At 49.3% G+C, this 19,551-nt stretch overlaps 3 annotated features.

Annotated features, from left to right (window-relative positions):
- Positions 248-973: an enhancer, noted in NCBI's record as "H3K4me1 hESC enhancer chr1:4015013-4015738 (GRCh37/hg19 assembly coordinates)". NCBI's record gives its function as "activates a minimal SCP1, AML or CMV promoter by ChIP-STARR-seq in naive H9 embryonic stem cells {active_cell/tissue: H9 hESC(naive)}" and the evidence as "EXISTENCE:reporter gene assay evidence [ECO:0000049][PMID:30033119]".
- Positions 3,097-3,633: an enhancer, noted in NCBI's record as "H3K27ac-H3K4me1 hESC enhancer chr1:4017862-4018398 (GRCh37/hg19 assembly coordinates)". NCBI's record gives its function as "activates a minimal SCP1, AML or CMV promoter by ChIP-STARR-seq in primed H9 embryonic stem cells {active_cell/tissue: H9 hESC(primed)}" and the evidence as "EXISTENCE:reporter gene assay evidence [ECO:0000049][PMID:30033119]".
- Positions 3,634-4,169: an enhancer, noted in NCBI's record as "H3K27ac-H3K4me1 hESC enhancer chr1:4018399-4018934 (GRCh37/hg19 assembly coordinates)". NCBI's record gives its function as "activates a minimal SCP1, AML or CMV promoter by ChIP-STARR-seq in naive H9 embryonic stem cells {active_cell/tissue: H9 hESC(naive)}" and the evidence as "EXISTENCE:reporter gene assay evidence [ECO:0000049][PMID:30033119]".

Genomic DNA, 19,551 nt, shown 5'->3' on the forward strand with positions numbered 1-19,551 from the left:
ACCTCCTGCGCATGGGTTTCTTTCTGCCCCTGTCTCTTTCCCTGCATTCTTGTCCTCTTCTCGGCATTCTGTTTTCAGTCTGTCCCTCTGCCATGTGACTGTCCAGTACACGTGAGTACATGGGATATGTTCCCCAAACCATGGAGGCTGGGCTTAGCCATGTGACCTGCTTTGGCCAAGGATGTTTTGACAGCACTGCACAAGCAGAGGTCTCAGCTGTGCTTCTGCGGCGGCGGGGCTCCCCCCCGGGGCTCCTGTCACCTGTCTGGGGAGAACGTGCTCCAGGCGCGGCCCTTCCAGAGAGTGTGGAATCCCCGGGGAAGCCCAGATGATCCACAGCCAGACGCTGGCTGAGGTTGAGAAACTGGCACTTGTTGATGTCAGCCACCGAGTTTGGAGTTTTGGAGTGGCTTGTCAGACAGCAGCATTGTAGCAATGGCCGAATCATCCATGAAGACGCTGAATTTCATTTTTGTTTTTTGTTACGGCAGCATAACTTTGCTGATCTGGTCTGTGACAAAATAACTTTTTCCTCTGTCAGTCTTTCTCTTTTCATTAAAAAAAAAAATGTAGTCATTATTTACTCTCCTCCACTCCCTCTCCACTCCCATCTCTACGTCACAGTAAGTCCTGAGTTTGTGTCTCCACTGCCACCGCCGCCCTGGCCTACGCCTGCACCTGCTCCTGCCTGGACGGTGTTATAGCCCCCGGCGGGGGTGTCCCCGCTGCTGCCCAGGGCGGAGCAGATGCTGAGTGAAATTCTTCTGCACACTCCCTGCCTGCGTCCCCCAGGCCTCCTGGCTTCTTGTCGCTCTCCCCTCACACCCACCCTACTCCTCTTCCCTGTTTCCATTTGCACACGGCGCCCACCTTACTCTGCCTGGAACGCTCTCTCTGCCTAGTGGCTGCCCACGGCCGGCTCCTCCTTATTGGCTCCTTTCCCACAGGCCATGCCCTGGGGAGAACTGCGGTTCCACCAATAAAACCGGAATCTGGACCTAGGAAGGACAGACTTCATTCAAAAGGATGACTGCAAAGAAGAGTGGTTGACTGCAGTGGGGAAGGGGCTATTGCTTGGGGGAGGGGAATATTTCTTTAGGGGAGGGAACTATTGCAGTGGGGGAAGGGACTATTGACGTGGAGATAGGAGACTCTCGCAGTGGGGATAGGGGCTACTGAATGGGGAGGGGATCATTGCAATGAGGAGAATGATGTGTGTCAAAAGTAAAAGTTCCCCTTCAAAGTTTCCCTTCTTGTTAAAGAATAAATCATAAGTGTTAGAAATGATAGTTTCTTTTAAAGACTAACTTCCTTTAAGCCTCCTTACTTTATGCTAATAACTCTTTGTTGGGCCCTATCCTATGTAGCTGTTAACCATGCTCACAGGCACGTAGTACATCCTATGTCCTTGTACCTTAACCAAAATATTTGTGCTGGACCTGCTCACAGGCACGCTCCAGCTTGCAGCCTATGCCTCTTCCCTATTTGGCTTAAGCAACTTTCTCTTTCTCTTTTTCTTTGTCTTTCCATTACTTTTACCTGTTTTAAAAAGTTTTAAACTGTTAGCCAATCAGGTTTTAGTTTAGATTGTGCCGCCTGGCTCCAGCCAATAGAGACAGGACACAGTAGCAGGGACAAACCGCCTAAGGGATAAAACTTGCTTCCCTCCTTTGTTCAGGTGTGCTTTTGCCATTGTTTCATCTGTGATGCTCACCCTTTCTGCAGAAAGTTAAAAATGGCCTTGTTGAGAGAATTAAATTTTTGTTCAAGTACTATCTCTTTGTGGCACCGGGGAACAAGCATTCTATTTCTAAATAAACATTTTTACATATAAGAGTGTGACCATAAGCTCTGCGAGCTCTCAAGAGTTTGGCAGAGGGGTTTTCTTTCAGCGTGGAGTCAACAAGGCTGAGCCATTCTTCTGTCTCCAGTTCCCATCCCGAAGGCTGACTCAGCATAGGCACTCACTAAATGTTTGTTGAGTGAGTGAATGGGCGGATGTTCACGGTCTCGGGCTGCACGGCTGAAAGGACAGGCCTGGCTGGGAATGAAGTGTGGTTGCGGCAGAGCCCACGGGCTCTTGGGACTGCTCTACTGGCCTGAGTGGCAGGGTCCTGTGTGAGTGTGGCAGAGGCCATGGGCTCTTGGGACTGCTCTACCGGCCCGAGCGGCAGGGTTCTGCTACCTGGAGCCCAGTCAGGCCCTGGCTGTCAGAAAAGCTCTCAGGGAAATCCCAGCTGGAGGGGCTTAGTGGGGTGAGGAAGAACTTCCTGTTAAGCAAGATATGAGCTGAGGGTGAGGAAGTGGGGAATTCCCTTCTCCAAGGATAACTTCAGGAACTCAAAGGGGACTGGGAGAGAGGCTTAGGGCGCATGACCTTGAGCTCCTCACCTCTCCTGGCCTCAGTTTGCCCATCTAGAAATTGGTGGTATGGCATTAAAGGAGGATCTTTCTCTCCGCTGACTGCTGTTGGGCCCAGCGTGGCTGGGAAGGGTGTCCCTGGCCACCTCGCTGTTTGTCCTAGTCAGAGTCTGCAGGGTTCCTCATTTCATTTTCTCCCAATATAACAAAGTAGGGGGCCTGGGACCTTGGACCGGCATCATGTAGACTCATTGGATTCTGGAATCCTTGCTCCCTCCATCCTGGAATCTCTGCCCTATATTCCATGCTGCAGGCATCCATGCCCTGTCCTGCAACATGGTTTATATTCAACTTTCCCTGTCTCTTCTCCCCTGAGCTTGTCATTTCTGGAGGGCAGGGGCTGTGTGTGAGCTAGGCTTCCTCCCAATGGCTCAAGACGGAGCCTTGTATTCAGTAGGTACTCAGTATGCTCACGTAGATTCTGTTTGATCAAAATTGCATGTTCAGTCTGTAAGCCAGAATGGTGAGAAGCGGGTTGTGTGCAGGGAGGACGCGCTTATACTGTCAGAAGTGGTTGACTGGGCAGGAGTCTGTGGGGGTCTTCATTGCATCTGAGCTCCTTCTTTCTCCTTAGTCCTTTAGGGGTATAATTTGATACCCAGACACTTAGCAGACACCTCCTGTTGTCGCCCTCACAGTGTGGGGTGTGGGAGGGGTCCTGCCTGTCAGCTGGCCTGGGCTTGAAAGGATTCAGCCACGAGAATCCATATTCTGTCATCTCCCAGCCTAGAGGGCCAGTGCATTACCCACACTTTACAGATGAGGAATTGGAGGCTCGGAAAAGCTTTAGAAACTTGCCCAAAGCCACATGGTTAGTGTGTGTTTGGAGCAAGATTTGAACTCTCTCTTCAAGTCCCTGTGCCTGCTTGTGTGTGTGTGTGCGTTCATGGGTGTGCATCCACACAGACGTGTGTACACACATGCATAAGCATGAGCATGTGTGCCTGCGAGGGTGTACATGGACGTGTCTGTAAACCACACTGCTTGCCACGGTATGTCCCTCACTGAGTGGCTGGCCTGGCTGCATGGGCAACAGCGTGGATTAGGATATCCCGGGAAGCTCCTGGATCCAGGGCCATGAGGAGACTCTGGAGGGAATTCTTTCAGGCAGGAAGCCCTTGGAGCAGGAGGAGCTTGGCAGGAAGAGGCTGTGCCCTCCTTGCCCTTTGAGCCGCCTTTTCCCCCAGTGCCCCAGGTCCTGGCATGGGTAAAGTCCCCTTCCCCAGCCCCTAAGTGGCCTGTGGCTACTGCCGAGCCTCTGACCTGGTGTCCCAGTTCACCACCTCTCAGGAGGCCTGGGTCCCCCCAGTGCCACTCCAGGCCCGGAGGCGATGCAGCCTGGGGTCTGCAGGGACTCTCTAGGGGTCTCCTCTACCCGGACACCATCTTAACCAAGCCCCTCCTTCCACCCTGTGCTATTCATTATTTTGTGTCCTTCAACACGGGACTAAGCTGGCTGAAGGGGGCAGAGGTTTGGGGTCACAACTCCAAGCTCTGAGAAGCCGGTTGGGTGGAAGCAGGTGGCCCCTGGTGTGTATCTCACAACACCTCCCTCCCCAGCCCCAGGGTGACCTGATTACCCCATTGTATTATTTAGGTTCAGAACATTCATCCACCCAACCCCTGGGGGCTGAATCCTGGCCTGGAGCCTCTGCTTCCCCAAACTTGCGGGGAAAAGCCTGGTCTTCTCTCTGTCCTTTCCCCACCAGCCAAACATCTTAAATCACCCTCATTTATTTGGCTAATTGAGGAGGAATGGTAGCAATGAGTTGGGCAGGTTGGTGAGTTTCTCTGAGACATTAATATTCTGATTCTGAGAGGGATCTGTCTGAATTCCTCAGTTACAGATAATACAATTATATTTCTAAATTCTTCCCCTAAATTAGTACAGATGGTTAAAAATACTCGCCTTTTAATTAATCGTTGGAACAATAGTCTTATGAATACAAATGAATCATTATCCCCTTCTACAGATGGCAGGGGAGGGGCAGGGGAGGGGCAGCTGCGGATTTGTCGGTGGTCCTGTCCCTGGAGGTCGAAGGTTGTGGGGTCTCAGCCGGATGGCAGGGCTGGGCCTCAGTGAAATTGGGAGTTGTAGCCCCCGGGGATAGAAGCAGGGGCCCCCCAGCCCATTCTTTTTAGTCCTGCCTCTTTGTTTTTTGAGACAGGGTCTCACTCTGTCACCCAGGCTGGAGTGCAGTGGTGCTATCTCGGCTCACTGCCACCTCTGCCTCCTGGGTTCAAGCGATTCTCGTCCCTCAGCCTCCCAAGTAGCTGGGACCATAGGCACACCCCACCCCACCCGGCTAATTTTTGCATTTTTAGTAGAGACGGAGTTTCACCATGTTGGCCAGGCTGGTCGCGAACTCCTGACCTCAGGTGAACTGCTGAACTCCTGAACTCTGCCTCGGCCTCTCAAAGTGCTGGGATTACAGGCATGAGCCACCACGTCCCGCCGTCCTGCCTCTTAAATCCTGTTAGCCTTTGGTTGTGACTTTTGTTTCCCAGGCAGGACTGAGAGAGCTGCCCTCTGCCTGAGGAGCCCTTTTGGTTGAGAAGAGTTTGGAAAGGAAAGATCTTAGTCTTTCAAGCAGGATGCCGTGTCTCTGTCCTCTCCTTCCGGATCTGGTTAGGAACTCCCTTGTCCTCCTTCCAGGCTCAGCCCCAGTGTTCCCTCTGATGTGAGGCTGGCGTGACCTCTCAGGCAGTTTTCCTCGCATTTTCCTCTGTGTGTGTGTGCGTGGGTGTGCGCTTTCTAGAAGGTGTGTTCGGTGCCATCACTGAGATGTGACTGTTGCTGTTGTGTGTCTATCCATCCCACAGGCAGCCCCGAGTCTTCTTTTGTGTCCCTGGATTCTAGCACAGGGCTGGCCTTGGAGAAGGCCAAGCACCACTGAAATCACTGTGCTTTAAAATTCAAAGCCAAATTCAATCCTGGACTTCATAAAAATTAAAAACTTTTGTGCATCAATGAACACTACCAACAGAATGAAAAGACAACCCATGGACTGGGAGAAAACACTGGCAAACCATATATCTAATAAGGAGTTAAAATCCAGAACATTTAAAGACCTATAATTCAACAACAAAAACAAACAGGCCAATTCAAAAATGAACAAAGGACTTCAATAGACATTTATTCAAAGAATATATACAAATGGCCAACAAGCACATGAAAAATGCTCAACATTGCTGGTCATTAGCAAAATGCAAAGCAAAACCACAGTGTGATACCGCTTCACACCCATTAGGATGACTGTTTAAAAACAACAAACAGGCCAAGTGCTATGGCTCAGGCCTAAATCCCAGAATTTTGGGAGGCCAAGCTGGGTGGATCACCTGAGGTCAGGAGTTTGAGACCAGCCTGGCCAACATGGTGAAACCCTGTCTCTACTAAAACTACAAAAATTAGCCAGGTGTGGTGGCAGCACCTGTAGTCCCAGCTACTCAGGAGGCTGAGGGAGGAGAATCGCTTGAACCTGGGAGGCGGAGGTTGCAGTGAGCTGAGATCGCGCCATTGCACTCCAGCCTGGGCAACAGGGTGAGACTCGGTCTCAAAAATAAATAAATAAATAAATAAATAAATAAATAAATAAATACAACAAACAGAGAATAACAAGTGTTGGCAAGGATGTGAAGAAATCGGTATCACTGTGCGTTGCTGGTGGGAAAGACAAATGGTTCAGCCACTGTGGAAAACAGTATGGCAACTCCTCAAACATTAGAAACAGAATTACTGTATTATCCAGCAGTGCCACTTCTGGGTATATACCTCAAAAGAGCTGAAAGCAGGGGCTGAAACTGGTATCTGCACACCTGTGTTCACAGCAGCCTTGTTCACAAGAGCCAAAAGAAAGGCGGAAGCAATGCATGTGTCCATGGATGGATGAATGGGTAAACAAAACGTGGTCTACCCACACAATGGAATGTTATTCAGTCTTAAAAAGGAAGGAGATCCTGACACAGGGGTCAACGCAGATGAACCTTGAGGACAATATATCTGCTATAGGCTAAGTGATGTAAGCCAGCCACAACAGGACAAATACTATACAATCCCACTTATATGAGGTCCCTAGAGTCATCCAATTCAGAGAGACAGAAAGCCTAATGGTGGGTGCCAGGGACTAGGGGAGGGGGAATGGGGAGTGAGCGTTGGATGGGGACAGAGGTTCATCTTGGGAAGAGGAAGGAAGTTCTGCAGGTGGATGGTGGTGATGGTTGCGTGACACTGTGAAAGTGCTTAATACCACTGAAGTGGACACTTAAAAAATAGTTCAGATGGTATAGGGGAGCACAAATTCCTCCTCTGCTCTTTTAGGGTCTCTGTTTGGGCCTAAGAATTAAACCAACTTAAGACAGATTGACAACAGAAAAGGAAACAAATTTTACATGTACATGGAAATCCTTAAAAGAAAATGAAGAGGCCGGGCACGGTGACTCATGCCTGAATCCCAGCACTTTGGGAGGCCGAGGTGGGCGGATCACTTGAGGTCAGTTGTTAGAGACCAGCCTGGCCAACATGGTGAAACCCCATATCTACTAAAAATATAACAGTCAGCTGGGTGTGATGGTGGGTGCCTGTAATCCCAGCTACTCAAGAGGCTGAGGCAGGAGAATTGCTTAAACCTGGGAGGTGGAGGTTGCAGTGAGCCAAGATTATGCCACTGCACTCCAGCCTTGGCAACAGAGCGAGACTCCATCTCAAAAAAAGAAAAAAAAAAAAAGAAAGAAAGAAGAAAAAGAAAATGAAGACCTGAAGTGACCAGAACAGACAGCTTATTTACCTTTTAGACAAAGAAGTTTGTGAGAAAGTGGCAAGACAAAGAGGTTTGGGCTAGGGGTAGTAAAGTGTGGGGAAGAGAGAGGAGCTGGGGTGCAGGAGGCTCTGGAAATTAGGGGTTATTTGGTAGGCTGGTTTATAGGTTAATTTCAGCACCGAGTCCCTGTCTCTGGTGATGGGGATGCTCTTCTCTTCTTGGTAACAGGGAGGTCACCTTTCTCAGGGAGATGTTATGACCTGCTTTTAGGTAGAAAAGGGGAGGCCAGAGAGGCCTTCTTGCACCTGCTGTTTCCCAAGTGTCTTCAGCTCAAAATAACCGATGTGCCAAAGCGGTATATTTTGGGGTGGCATGTCCTGACCTCTTTCAATGATAAGTTTTGTGTTTTGCATATTTTACCATAATTTTTTTAAAAAAGCCAAGTTTCCTTGGCCAGACAGCCTAACACTGGACATCGGTCAGGTTGGTATCCCCCAGCCTGGAACTCGCTCAGTGGAGGGTGATAGTAGAGGCTGTCAAAGAAAATGGGAGTCATTAAAGTGCTAAAATAAGTTTTTTTTTTTTTTTTTTTTGAGACAGAGTCTCGCTCTGTTGGCTAGGCTGGAGTACAGTGGCGCAACCTCAGCTCACTGCAACCTCCGCCTCCCGGGTTCAAGAGATTCTCCTGCCTCAGCCTCCCGAGTAGCTGGGACTACAGACGCACATAACTATGCCCGGCTAATTTTTGTATTTTTAGTAGTGACGGGGCTTCACCATATTGGTCTTGAACTCCTGACCTCGTGATCCACCCACCTCGGCCTTCCAAAATGCTGGGATTACAGGCGTGAGCTGCTGCACCCGGCCTAAAATCAGATTTTATTTGGGACCATTACAATGGGAGAAAGGGGACTTTAGTATAGAACTGAGCTCGATTTTTTTTTTTTTTGAGACAGTCTCACCCTGTCGCCCAGGCTGGAGTGCAGTGATGCAATCTCAGCTCATTGTAACCTCTGTCTCCTGGGTTCAAGCGATTCTGTAGTCTCAGCTTTATAAGTAGCTGGGATTACAGGTGCACACCACCGCTTGGCTAATTTTTTTTTTTTTTTTTTTTTGGTATTTTTAGTAGAGATGGGGTTTCGCCATATTGGCCAGGCTGGTCTCAAACTCCTGCCCTCAGGTGATCCGCCCACATCAGCCTCCTAAAGTGCTGGGATTACATGTGTGAGCCACTGCGTCTGGCCCTGAGCTTGATTTTGAACACAGCATCGGCAAGTGAAGATTTACAGCTAAGGAGCAGGGTGGGGTCTGTGGATGGAAAACAACTAAGAGGAAACCTCAGGGGTCGGGGGGATTCTGGCTCAACCCGCCTAACAGGATTCTTGTTGAAACCAGGCCAGGAGATCAGACATCACCTGCGGGATGTTGAGGATGAAGAACCCAACTGGATGTAGAGGGTGGTGGGGGGAGTCTCGCTCACCTGGCTTAACAGGGTTTTTGCTGAAATTGGGTGAGCCAGGCCTGTGAAGGACCGATGTAAAGGTCAGGCCTAGAGGGCTGAGAGGAGCCACAGCAGAGTCAGGTCCAGGAGAGGACTTGTCAAGGACCAGGAGCTGGAAAAGAGGCTTCCCTGCTGCAGCCCAGGTCAACCTAAATGAGCCTACCCAGGGGAGGTCCCACTGATGCGTTCAGGCTCAGGGCTGACACCGCCGTTACTGACACTTCCTTTTGGTAATTGGTCCCATAGACAAATTCCTCTGTCTGGTAAGGCCTGAGTCTTTAGCTGGGGCTCTCAAAGCCTCACGCCCAGCAGTGCCTAGTCCTGCTGTTGTTTGCTCTTCAGGGTCCGTGTGGCCAAGGCCAGCCATGGCTGCATTTTGTAGGCCCAAGGCTGAGCTTTGGCCACATGCAGTGAAAGCGTGGGAAAGGCTGAGGATTCAGAAAGTCAAGGTTGGCCTTAGCTGGGAGACAGTGCTGTGCTGGTGATGCTCAACAACCGGCTCTCTGATAAAATGTGCAGACGTTATTACTGATATAAAGGATACAGATCACACGATTGTCATTAACATCTACAATACTGTGTATTTTAAATTCCATATGATGAATTCATTCTCAAAGGTCACGTTTGTTGATTTTTTGTTAAACTCTTGTATCTGTTGTAGTGAAAGCTTGCAATTGATGAACAAGTATAGTTCTGACGTGAATGTCAGTTTGTATTTTTGTTTATATTAATGAGTAAGACAGAAATGAAACAACAGAGATATATTTCTAAACATCATCATTTTGTCAATTATGTGAGTGGCTCCTTTGCTGAATTGGATGATAGTTTCCAAATAGTCAAAGAATATTTCCTCATTTTTTCTGTGCTCATCACAGTGCAATGAACGGCCAGAAACACAACAATGTACTTTAGAGTTTAGTCCTCATTATTAGCAATTGCTCTCTTTTCTAAGACTAGGCGATCTATGGAACAGTAAATCTAACCTTGATTGACAGCGTTTGCCTACTTCCGTGGTGTAAACACTGCAACTATGGCTGATTTGAAGCCCATGACTGTGCCATCACCGAATGAGGGCTGAGAAGGGACCGGTGGTGCCACCACACACTCCCCACCGTGCAGCTGCTGCAGACAAGAGCCACCTGGTGTACGTGGTATGCAGTCAGATGCAGTCAAGTGACAGGGAAGAGATGAATTGTGAGTACTTAATATGTTCATTTTTATAATTTACTTAATTGAAAGTTTACATAGTTTAATTTTTAATAATGGCTGTGTTTAACTACTGGCTCCTAAAATTCCTGAAAATTTAACACGAGCGCCTGCCAGGTGGAGGGCCATGCACACCGCAGAAGGCTGGTGGCTTCTGTAGTGCCCAGGAGATGCGTGTACAGCTGGGCCCTGAGATGTGCACAGGCGCAGCCCTCCTACTGTGGGGCCCTGAGCTCACCAGGAAGAGCGGCCTGACTCTGGGCTTCTCAGGCTAAGGGGATCGGTTTCCAGGTCTGCTCAAAACCACGTGAGGTTTCAGGGCCCTGGGTGGTGGAATACTTTTGTCCAATCCTGCTGCCATCTTTAAACAAGGAATGGGGGAAAGAATACTTTCCTATAGATCACATTCCGAATATTTGGGAAACTTGGGTTGGATGCAGCGGCTCAGGCCTGTAATCCCAGCACTTTGGGAAGGCCAAGTGGGTGAATCACTTGAGGCCAAGAGTTCAAGACTAGCCTGGCCAACATGGTGAAACCCTGTCCCTACCAAAAAACACAAAAATTAACCAGGTGCAGTGGTGCAGGCCTACAGTCCCAGCTACTGAGGAGGCTGAGGCAGGAGAATTGCTTGAACCCAGGAGGCAGAGGTTGCAGTGAGCCAAGATCATGCCACTGCACCCCAGCCTGGGTGACAGAGTGAGATCCTGTCTCAAAAAAAAAAATTGAGAAACTTAACACACTGTTAATCTTCCTGGGTGGTCTCAACATGCAACAACCAGCTCTGAGGTTCACAGGGTCCCCTATGAACATGTCCTAGGCAGTACCCCTCACTGTCCCTCAGAGCAGGGTGATTTGGGGGAAGTTACTGAAGCTTCCTGGGGTTCAGGCATCAGTGATATTGAGGTAGGAGGTGGGACTCAACTCTTGGAGGTGGGGCTTGGACACTGGACCAAATTGAGGACTAGATAAAACAGGGCCAGGGCAGAAGCAGGTTTCCATAAGACATGCCCACCATTGTGCCATGTCAGTTTACCATTGCCATGGCAACACCTGGAAGTTACTACCTCTTTCCATGGCAACGACCCTGACAACCAGGAAGTTGCCAGGCTTTTCCTAGAAATTTCTGCATAAACTGCCCCTTAATTTGCATGTCATTAAAAGCAGGTATAAATGTGAGTACAGAAGTAGTTCTGGGTGGCTACCCTGGCCACACTGCCTATGTGGTAGCCCTGGTTCTCAAGGAGCCGTACCTCTCCTGCTGCTGTGCGCTGCCACTTCAATAAAAGTCGCTGTCCAACGCCACTGGCTCACCCTTGAATTCTCTCCTGGGTGAAGCCAAGAACCCTCCTGGGCTAAGCCCCAATTTTGGGGCTTGCCTGTCCTGCATCAATATGGTGTGATTATAATAGGTAGGGATGAAGATTGCACTGTGAGCCTATTGTGTCCCCAGCGTTCAGCACGAGGCCCAGCCCATGATGCTCCAAAGCTGCAGCACATGAATAGATGATTGAGGCCATGGCTGCAGGCAGTTGGTGCAGGGAAAGGTTCTGGGCAGTCAGCTGGTTCCAGTGTGGCTCCTGCAGAGGGGCTGATTTGCCAGTGCTATGGCCCTGGGCTTGGGGTAGTGTCCTGGGGCTGTGGTAGCAAAGTATCACAGACTGCTGTGGAGGTTCATCACGGCAGGAGCTGGCCCCTGCACCACTCTGCAGGCTGGGAGCCTGGGACCAAGGTGTCTGCATGGCTGCACTCTCTCTGAAGTCTGTAGAGAGGATCCTTCCTGCTTCCTCTGGCTTCTGGTTGCTGCCAGCAGTCCTTGGCATTCCTCGGCTTGCAGGTACATCGTCCCTTGGCCATCTTTTCCCTGTGCCTCTGTCTTCCCATGGCTGTCTTCTCAGATGGACCCCAGCCATATTGGATTAGGGCCCACCCTACTCCAGCATGAGCTCTTCTGAACTAATAACATCTGCAATGGACTTATTTCCAAATAGGGTCACATTCCGAAGTATTTGGGGTCAGGTCTTCAACATATCTTTTTTAGGAGGATGCAATTCATCCCATACCAGAGTGAGAGTGGAGATCCGTCATTCATTCATTCATTTGGTGCATTGACTGAGCACCTTTCTTCTCCCTTGTCTTTGGTGCTGATGTCTGGTGATGCTTGAGACAGGTGCAGTTCCTGCCTGCATGGAGATCTGGGTCTAACAGACAGGATGGCAGCAAACACCTCATCAGGTGGCCTGTTGGTTGTGCCCTGTCATCAGAGGTATGAGAGGGAAAGCACAAGTGGAGGCCTCTCCCATGTGGCCCCTTGCCCCGTGGGCCCTGCCCAGGTGTGGCCATAAGGCTCCTGGATACCCACAGTCACCTGTATGTGTGCCACCATCCTTTTCCTGTCCCACTTGGAATGTGGGTGGGACCGGAATGTCAGCTCTGGACGTCCTGGGACCTCCCCAGGGCCAAGCTCCACACAAGTGATCCCAGATTGATCCTTGAGGTGATGGTGGGAGGTGCTGTCCCAGGCAAATATGGAAGGAGAGCTACCTGGTGACTCGAAAATTCCATTTAAATTAGAAGCACCAGGGGACCGGGAACCAGTGTTGTTGGGACCTGACCACACTGAGACTCTGCAGGCGAGTCTTGGACCTCATGCCAATTTCTCAAAGGTTGGGTAGTCACTCACATACCTGTGTCCAGCCCAACCTCCACTTTCACTAGCAGATTGATCTTGGGTCAAGTTTTTAACTTCTCAGCCTCCTTCCTCATCTGGAAAATGGGTGACAACAGCTTCTACCTGGAAGGTTTTCAGTGAAGTTTGAATGCAGAGCAGCCGAGTCTTCCCTGTAAGGAGACCCATGGGTGTTTTCTAACCCCCAGATGAGAACTGTGCAGTTGCAGTATCCAGTGATGTGTCAGTTAGGCTAAGGGAAGGCTGGCTGCTACAATAAATAAACCTTGATCTTATTGGTGACTTTGCACAAGTTTACACACAGAGAGAATGCCTTGAGATAATAAAGGCAGAGAGATCAGAGTGATGCAGCTGCCAGCTGAGGAATGCCAAGGGTTAATGACCACACCAGAAATTGGAGGAGGCAAGGAAGGATTCTACCCAGAGTATCTGAGTGACTGTGACCCTGCTCAGATGTTGATCTTAAACTTGTAGCTTCCAGAGCCACAAGAGAATAAACTTCTGTTGTTCTACTAAACTGCTCTATTTGTGGTACATTGTTACAGCAGCCCCATTAAAATAACACGTGCATGAATGGACTATTATGACATCTTGTAGATATGACTTTTGTACCCACCTAACTTTTTAAAAAGCAAACATTACTAAACACCTGATACATGCCCTAAAAGGTGCTAGGTTTTGAGGTTACAAGAATGGGTGAGACATAGTTCTTGTTCTCATAAAGCTCATAATACCATGGTTTATATGCACAAGTCAATAGAGAAAGTCAAAAGGTTGTTATAGGTATGACAGACAGGCTAGGCATGAGGAGTCCCTGGAGCACCTAGGAGGGATGCCCAGCACAAGCTGGCAAAGAGAGTGACAGGGCACTGGAAAGATAGTTAGGTTAGAATAGGTCTAGGATGGGATCAGGGCTCAGGTGCGGAGAGACAGAGTTCCTCCAGGTAGCTAAGTCCTGGGGCTTGGACCAGAAGAAGAGAGTGTGTAAGGCATGACAGGAATGGAGTCACTCTACATGACTGGATGTGGAGTGTCTCGGTGGGACTGGGAAGGAGACATGAGGTCATAGAGGTCACAAGGAGCCACTTCAGGAGGGGTCTTATGAGCCAAAGTAAACTGAGGCAACCTAAGAACTTTATACCCCCAGAAAGTAGGGATGATCAATAAGTATTATGATTTAAATCATGGACAATTAAAGCCAATGCAATGGATACAAATTGGATATCTCTGGAATCATTCACATATCCATGTCTGGCCTAACCACAGAGTGGGCTACCCAAGGGCTCCTGCCTTTCCTCTACCCTGGGCAGAATTTTACACATTGTGAGTGGCCCCTGGCTAATGGACAAAGCAAAAACATTATCCGATGTCTCTGGATGTCCCACTTGCAGTGCCTGAGGCAAGGGCTGCAGCACAGGGAGCTTAATGGAGAGTAGATTCCCAGGAAGCTGGAGAGTAGCTTGATGGTAGTGGGACAGGAGGGGAGGGAAGAATAAATCAAGGATTCATTGTTGAGCTAGTTACTGCTGTGGACAGCTAGATCTTAATTCTGCTGGAGACCCTGTGAGGAATTTTGTAGAAGGCATTTTAGAATTGCTCTCCGGAGGATGCAAGGTGGGAGCATTTATCCACCAACTCCCAATTTCATTTGAAGGTTGTCTCTGTGTGTGGGACATTCTGCAGCTTTGGAGAAAGCCCTGGTGCAGAAAAGCAGGGAGTCAAGGCAGCCCAGGTTTGAACGAAGACCCCATCAACATGCACGGAACTGTCCACGATAGCAGTGCTGAAATCGGGCGGGCCAAGGGGAGCCTGCTACAGTCCGCCCCTTAACTGTTAATCTGCACATACCCCACCTTATGTTCCCTCTGTCACTGAATCTTTAACGTAGTGGCCAGTTGAACTCCCTAATGAAAGGCTTAAGCCGGAGGGATCTGTCAAACATAGCTAGTATTGCTGCTGTAGCAGGCCCTGAGCGGTCATAACTGAAATTCAGCAGCTCTTTCCTTCACCACTCATCCTAGATTTCTCAGAGCCTGCTTGGAATATGCTGATCACTGACACTAGTTATTGGTCCGGAGGTAATGAGGAGCGGAAGAGGGAACCCGAGGATAAGAAGCATCACCTTACGGAGCATTATCAGATGAAGGCTTGCCTTTTCATAGTCACCAATTAAGAGGGTTTTCCTCTCTAGAAAGGGGGAGAAAGTTCCCTCTTTCAGTTTGGAGGGGTCAATGGATAAGGTCCCAAATTCTCAGGTGCATTCTTCCACATGTCTCCATCCCTGGACTCAGGGTCCCACTCTTTCTATATTGATCCCTGACATTAGCCTTGGAGACCTGTCAAGGCTATGCATTCAGTCTCTTTTATGGTTTTTCCACCTTTAGATTTAATTACAGTCCTGATTTTCAGCACCATCTGCCCTCTGGCTGCAAGAGATGAGGGTCACTGTAAATGCTGCTATGGAGGCGTTCTGGCTTTGACAGCATAGCCTGAGCTGATAATTGGCTGACCTGAGCTTGTCATTCTCTTTCATCAAATCTAAGGCAGTTAACAAAACCCAGCAAACTCTCCCATCATTATAACTACCACTGCTTTCATACACTTCAAGTGCTAGTTAGTGTATAAGCCAATGCTTTCCTTTTGCCTGGACCTCATCCCAACACACTACAGGCAAAATATTTTATAGTTTAGAGGGATTATTGTCACACTTAACATCACCTAGGGATTTATCCATCAACTCCCAATCTTCAACATTTGAGGGTTGTCCCCGTGTGGGGGATATTCTGCAGTTTTGGAGAAAGTCTTGGGGCAGAAAAGTGGAGAGTCAAGGCAGCACAGACTTGAAGCAAGATCCCATCAATGTGCACTGAACTGCTCATGAGGAAGTGCTTAACATGTTAACTTAAGTGATTAACATCCCTGAAGACCCCGTCATGAAGTCTTTGTTGCTGTCTTTCCAGGGAACAGTCCAGTTCCACTATTCTATTCTGAGGATTGCTTTCTTCGTTAAGTTTGGATTCCCTAGAAACAGAGTCTGAGACAAGGTCTTGGATGCAGCTACTTTCATGGACCGGTGATCCCAGGGGGTAGAAGCAGGGATAGTGGGGGTGGAATAGGGCAGGAGGAAAGTTCAATGAAAGCATTTTCTATTGAGATGATGTGTTCAACTGAGCTCTAGTTCTACTGGGGACTCTGGGCACCGTGTAGAATGCCTCTCATTATTGTGCTTCTGAAGGAAGCGAGGCTGGGCCATTTGTCCATCAACTCCCGTCCCCTATTCTTTCAGGTTACCTCTGGGAATGTCCCCTTCCCATGCCTCTGGGCTGTGCCAGTGAAAGGCAGAGCAGCCTCTATTGCATCAGAGAAAGCTCTGACTCCAAACAGCAGAGAGATGCAGGGTTCCTGAGGTGGGGGACTTGTCCATGCCAATAGTGCTGAGGTCAAGTGGGCTGAGGCACTAAGGTGTGAAATATCACCAGCATCTGCTACTCCCAGCAGGCAGATTTGGATCCGGAAGGCTTCTACAATGTTCGAACATGTCAACTGCTGAAACCTTGCCTGCCATGGACCATGCCTTTGTTCCACAAACCTCATTTCTGTTCCCTGTGGTCCTGGCACTTCAACCCAACCTCCAAAGTCCCTATGGGTTTCCATGAATGGGGGCACACAGCATCTGTATCAGGAGAGCAGACGGCAGTACACCAGCTGGGCACCTGCTTATAACTTGTTTGTCAACTCCTGTTTATGCAGGAAAAAGCAGACAGCCAGCTGTCACGCTGTGCATGGATAAAACATCACATCAACTCCTGTTTTTGTATTTCGGTTGAGTAGTCTGCTGGGGCCCCAGGGGGTGTCAGGCCAAAACACTGTAATCCCTGGCTGGGATAAGTACTGCCTACTCCATTTTTCTCAGTTTGGACTCCTGGAGGCAAATGTCAGCTGTTTCATCAAAAACAAAATGCTCCCCTGTGGGACGATTTCAGCAGCTCACCTGTGAAGGGTATTACTTTTTCCTCCACTTCTGAAAAGTCTGTCCTAGTTTTCTCTTCTGCCTGCACCAACCTTCATGTTCCCCCTTCATGAATGAGGGACCTGGGAGTGCTTGCTGAGGGCGGCATGTGGCTCTCTGAAAAATATACTATGGTCTTGACCTTGCTAACTGCAGAAGCCCATCAGAGTGGGACTGGACAGCCCAGGTGTGGAAAGATCTGAAGACCAGGTGGGCAAAGGGGACGTTAGAGAGCAGGTGGCTCCTGGGTGGAACTTCCTGAGCACTTCAGCAAATGCAGGGGCAACCCGTGGTGGCTTCTCTACTTTGGGGCCCCCCCAGGACACCAGTAAGAAAAAATGGAGGACAGAAGATTTGAGGATGTAAACAATTCCCAAATTGTCTTTGAATTTTCTGAGAGCCCAGGACCAAAGGCTATTTCCCCGGGGGCAGTGGGAAGAGCCTGTGTGGGGAGTGGACCTTGAGGTGACTCTCACTTCCCATTTGTCTTGTATAACCTTGAACAAGTGACAGAGTCTCTCTGAGGCCTGGCTCCTTCGTTTCCAACAAGGGCATAACATTTTTCACCCCATAGGGTTGTCATGGGATTAATGAGGTGACACGGGCAACTTGCTGGCCCTGCATGAGGCTTAACAAAAGCTACCTTCTTTTCCTTTTCCTGGTGTGTAGGGAAAAAAGATCAAGCTCTGTGGTTCATTGCCTGGAAAGCACACAGGCTTGGGGATGGTGAGCCACACCGTCGTCCCGCCAACCTCCAGGCAGTCTGAAGCGTGATTAAAAGAATGGCTTCAGATGTTGGGAGCACCAGGAGCTACCTCCCTCTTTGATCTGCTCGATTAAAAAAATTCTGTCCTTACCATAGCCTCACTTCAGGCTTTTCAGTTCTGCAGGATTTCCTAATCCTCCTTTAAATAAAGATCAAAAAGGAACCAGCACTTAGCAGCTGCTTCTTTTTCCTGCTGGTCATTACTCTGTAGAGGTTTGGGTTGAAAGTCCTAGTGAATGACTCATGAGGATGGAGAATACTAGAGCTGAGGCTCCAAACTAGTTGGAAAATGTGATCACCTGGTACCTGATCCAACACCTGATCTGTTTCTTTCTAGGTTTCTAAAAGAATAGGTGCAAGTCTGTCATTGTGCTAAGCACAGAGAAGCTTTATAGGTGTTAACTCATTGGCTCCTAACAATACCCTAGAAGGTAGATGTGTTAGTCTGTTTGTGTTGCTATAAAGGAATCCCTGAGGCACGGTAACTTATAAAGAAAAGAGGTTTATTTTGGCTGATGGTTCTGCAGGCTGCACAGGGAGAGGCCTCAGGGAGGTTACAGTATTGCTCCTGGAGAGGCCTCAGGGAGGTTACAGTCATGGCAGAAGGTGAAGAGGGGGCTGGCATATCACATGGTGGGAGAAGGATCAAGAGACAGGAGGGAGGTGCCAGGCTGTTTTTAAACAACCGGGTCTCACATGAACTCATAGAGAGAGGACTCACTTGTTATTGTGAGGACAGCAGCAAGCCATTCATGAGGGATCTGTCCCCACGACCCATACACCTCCCACCAGGCCCATCTCCAACACTGGAGGTCACATTTCAACATGGGATTTGTAGGGGACACACATCCAAACTATATCAGTTGGTGCTCATTATTGTCACCCATTTTACAGATTGGGAAGGTGAGGAACAGAGGGGTGGAGAAACTTACCTAAGGTCACACAGAGTAAGTGGGAGAGCTGGGATTTTGGCCACAGTATTTTGGATCCAGAGTTTGTGTAGATGACCACTCTGCTGTACTACCAAGAATTCAACCAAAGGTAAATTCTCTATTCTTTTAAAAATTATTGATTGATTGATTGATTGATTGAGACAGGGTCTCACTTTGTTGCCCTAGCTGGCCTCAAACTCCTGGGCTCAAGCGATCCTCCCTCATTGGCCTCCCAAAGTCCTGAGATCACAGGCATGCACCACTGTGCCCTGTCAAGTTCTCTACTCTTACTAGATGTCCAGAACAATTCCTTGTGCAAAGAATGTGTCTTCCACTGCAGCTCAGGGGCTCCTGTGCACAGGGCTGACTGGACGTTTGAGACTCCAGCACGGTCGGGGACCCTATTCCCCACAGTGTCTATGGGGACTCCAGCACAGTCGGGGACCATATTCCCCACAGTGTCTATTGGGACTACAGCACGGCCGGGGACCCTATTCCCCACAGTGTCTATGGGGACTCCAGCACGGTTGGGGACCATATTCCCCATGGTGTCTAGGGGGACTCTAGCACGGTCAGGGACCCTTCCCCACAGTGTCTAGGGGGACTCCAGCACGGTCGGGGACCATATTCCCCACAGTGTCTATGGGGACTCTAGCACGGTCAGGGACCCTTCCCCACAGTGTCTAGGGCAGTTCCAGCACGGTCGGGGACCATATTCCCTACAGTGTCTAGGGCGGCTCCAGCACGGTCGGGGACCATATTCCCCACAGTTTCTGGGGGGACTCCAGCATGCTCGGGGACCATATTCCCCACGGTGTCTATGGGGACTCCAGCATGGTCAGGGACCATATTCCCCATGGTGTCTAGAGGGACTTGGAGAGTGAATATGGAGCAGCCCATAACGTTTGACATCCTGGGAGATCGGTGGCTGTGGGGCCTGATCATCCAGCTTGACTGTACCCAAATAAAGCAGAAAATACCTACTAATTTAGTTCCAGGGTTAGTTACAGGTGAAACATAGAACTGAGGAGCGATTTTTCTCCTTTTGACCTTAAAACAAGGGTGAAAAGGCAGAGTGAGCTGAGCTTTGCTCCCCAGAAGCTGCTAGTCCCAGTTGTTTCTGTCTGAGGGGAGTTTGGGAATTGGGGCTCTGGTCCCCGTGTGCAGTGAGCAGATGGGGCAAGTGGGTGGTGTGGGTGGGGGAGAGGCATCATCGGTTGTGAGGTCAGCAGACATTTATCTTCAGAAAGAGAAAGTCTCAAAGCCGGGCGCAGTG

Source organism: Homo sapiens, chromosome 1 (genome assembly GCF_000001405.40).
Source record: "Homo sapiens chromosome 1, GRCh38.p14 Primary Assembly".
Lineage (NCBI taxonomy): Eukaryota > Metazoa > Chordata > Mammalia > Primates > Hominidae > Homo > Homo sapiens.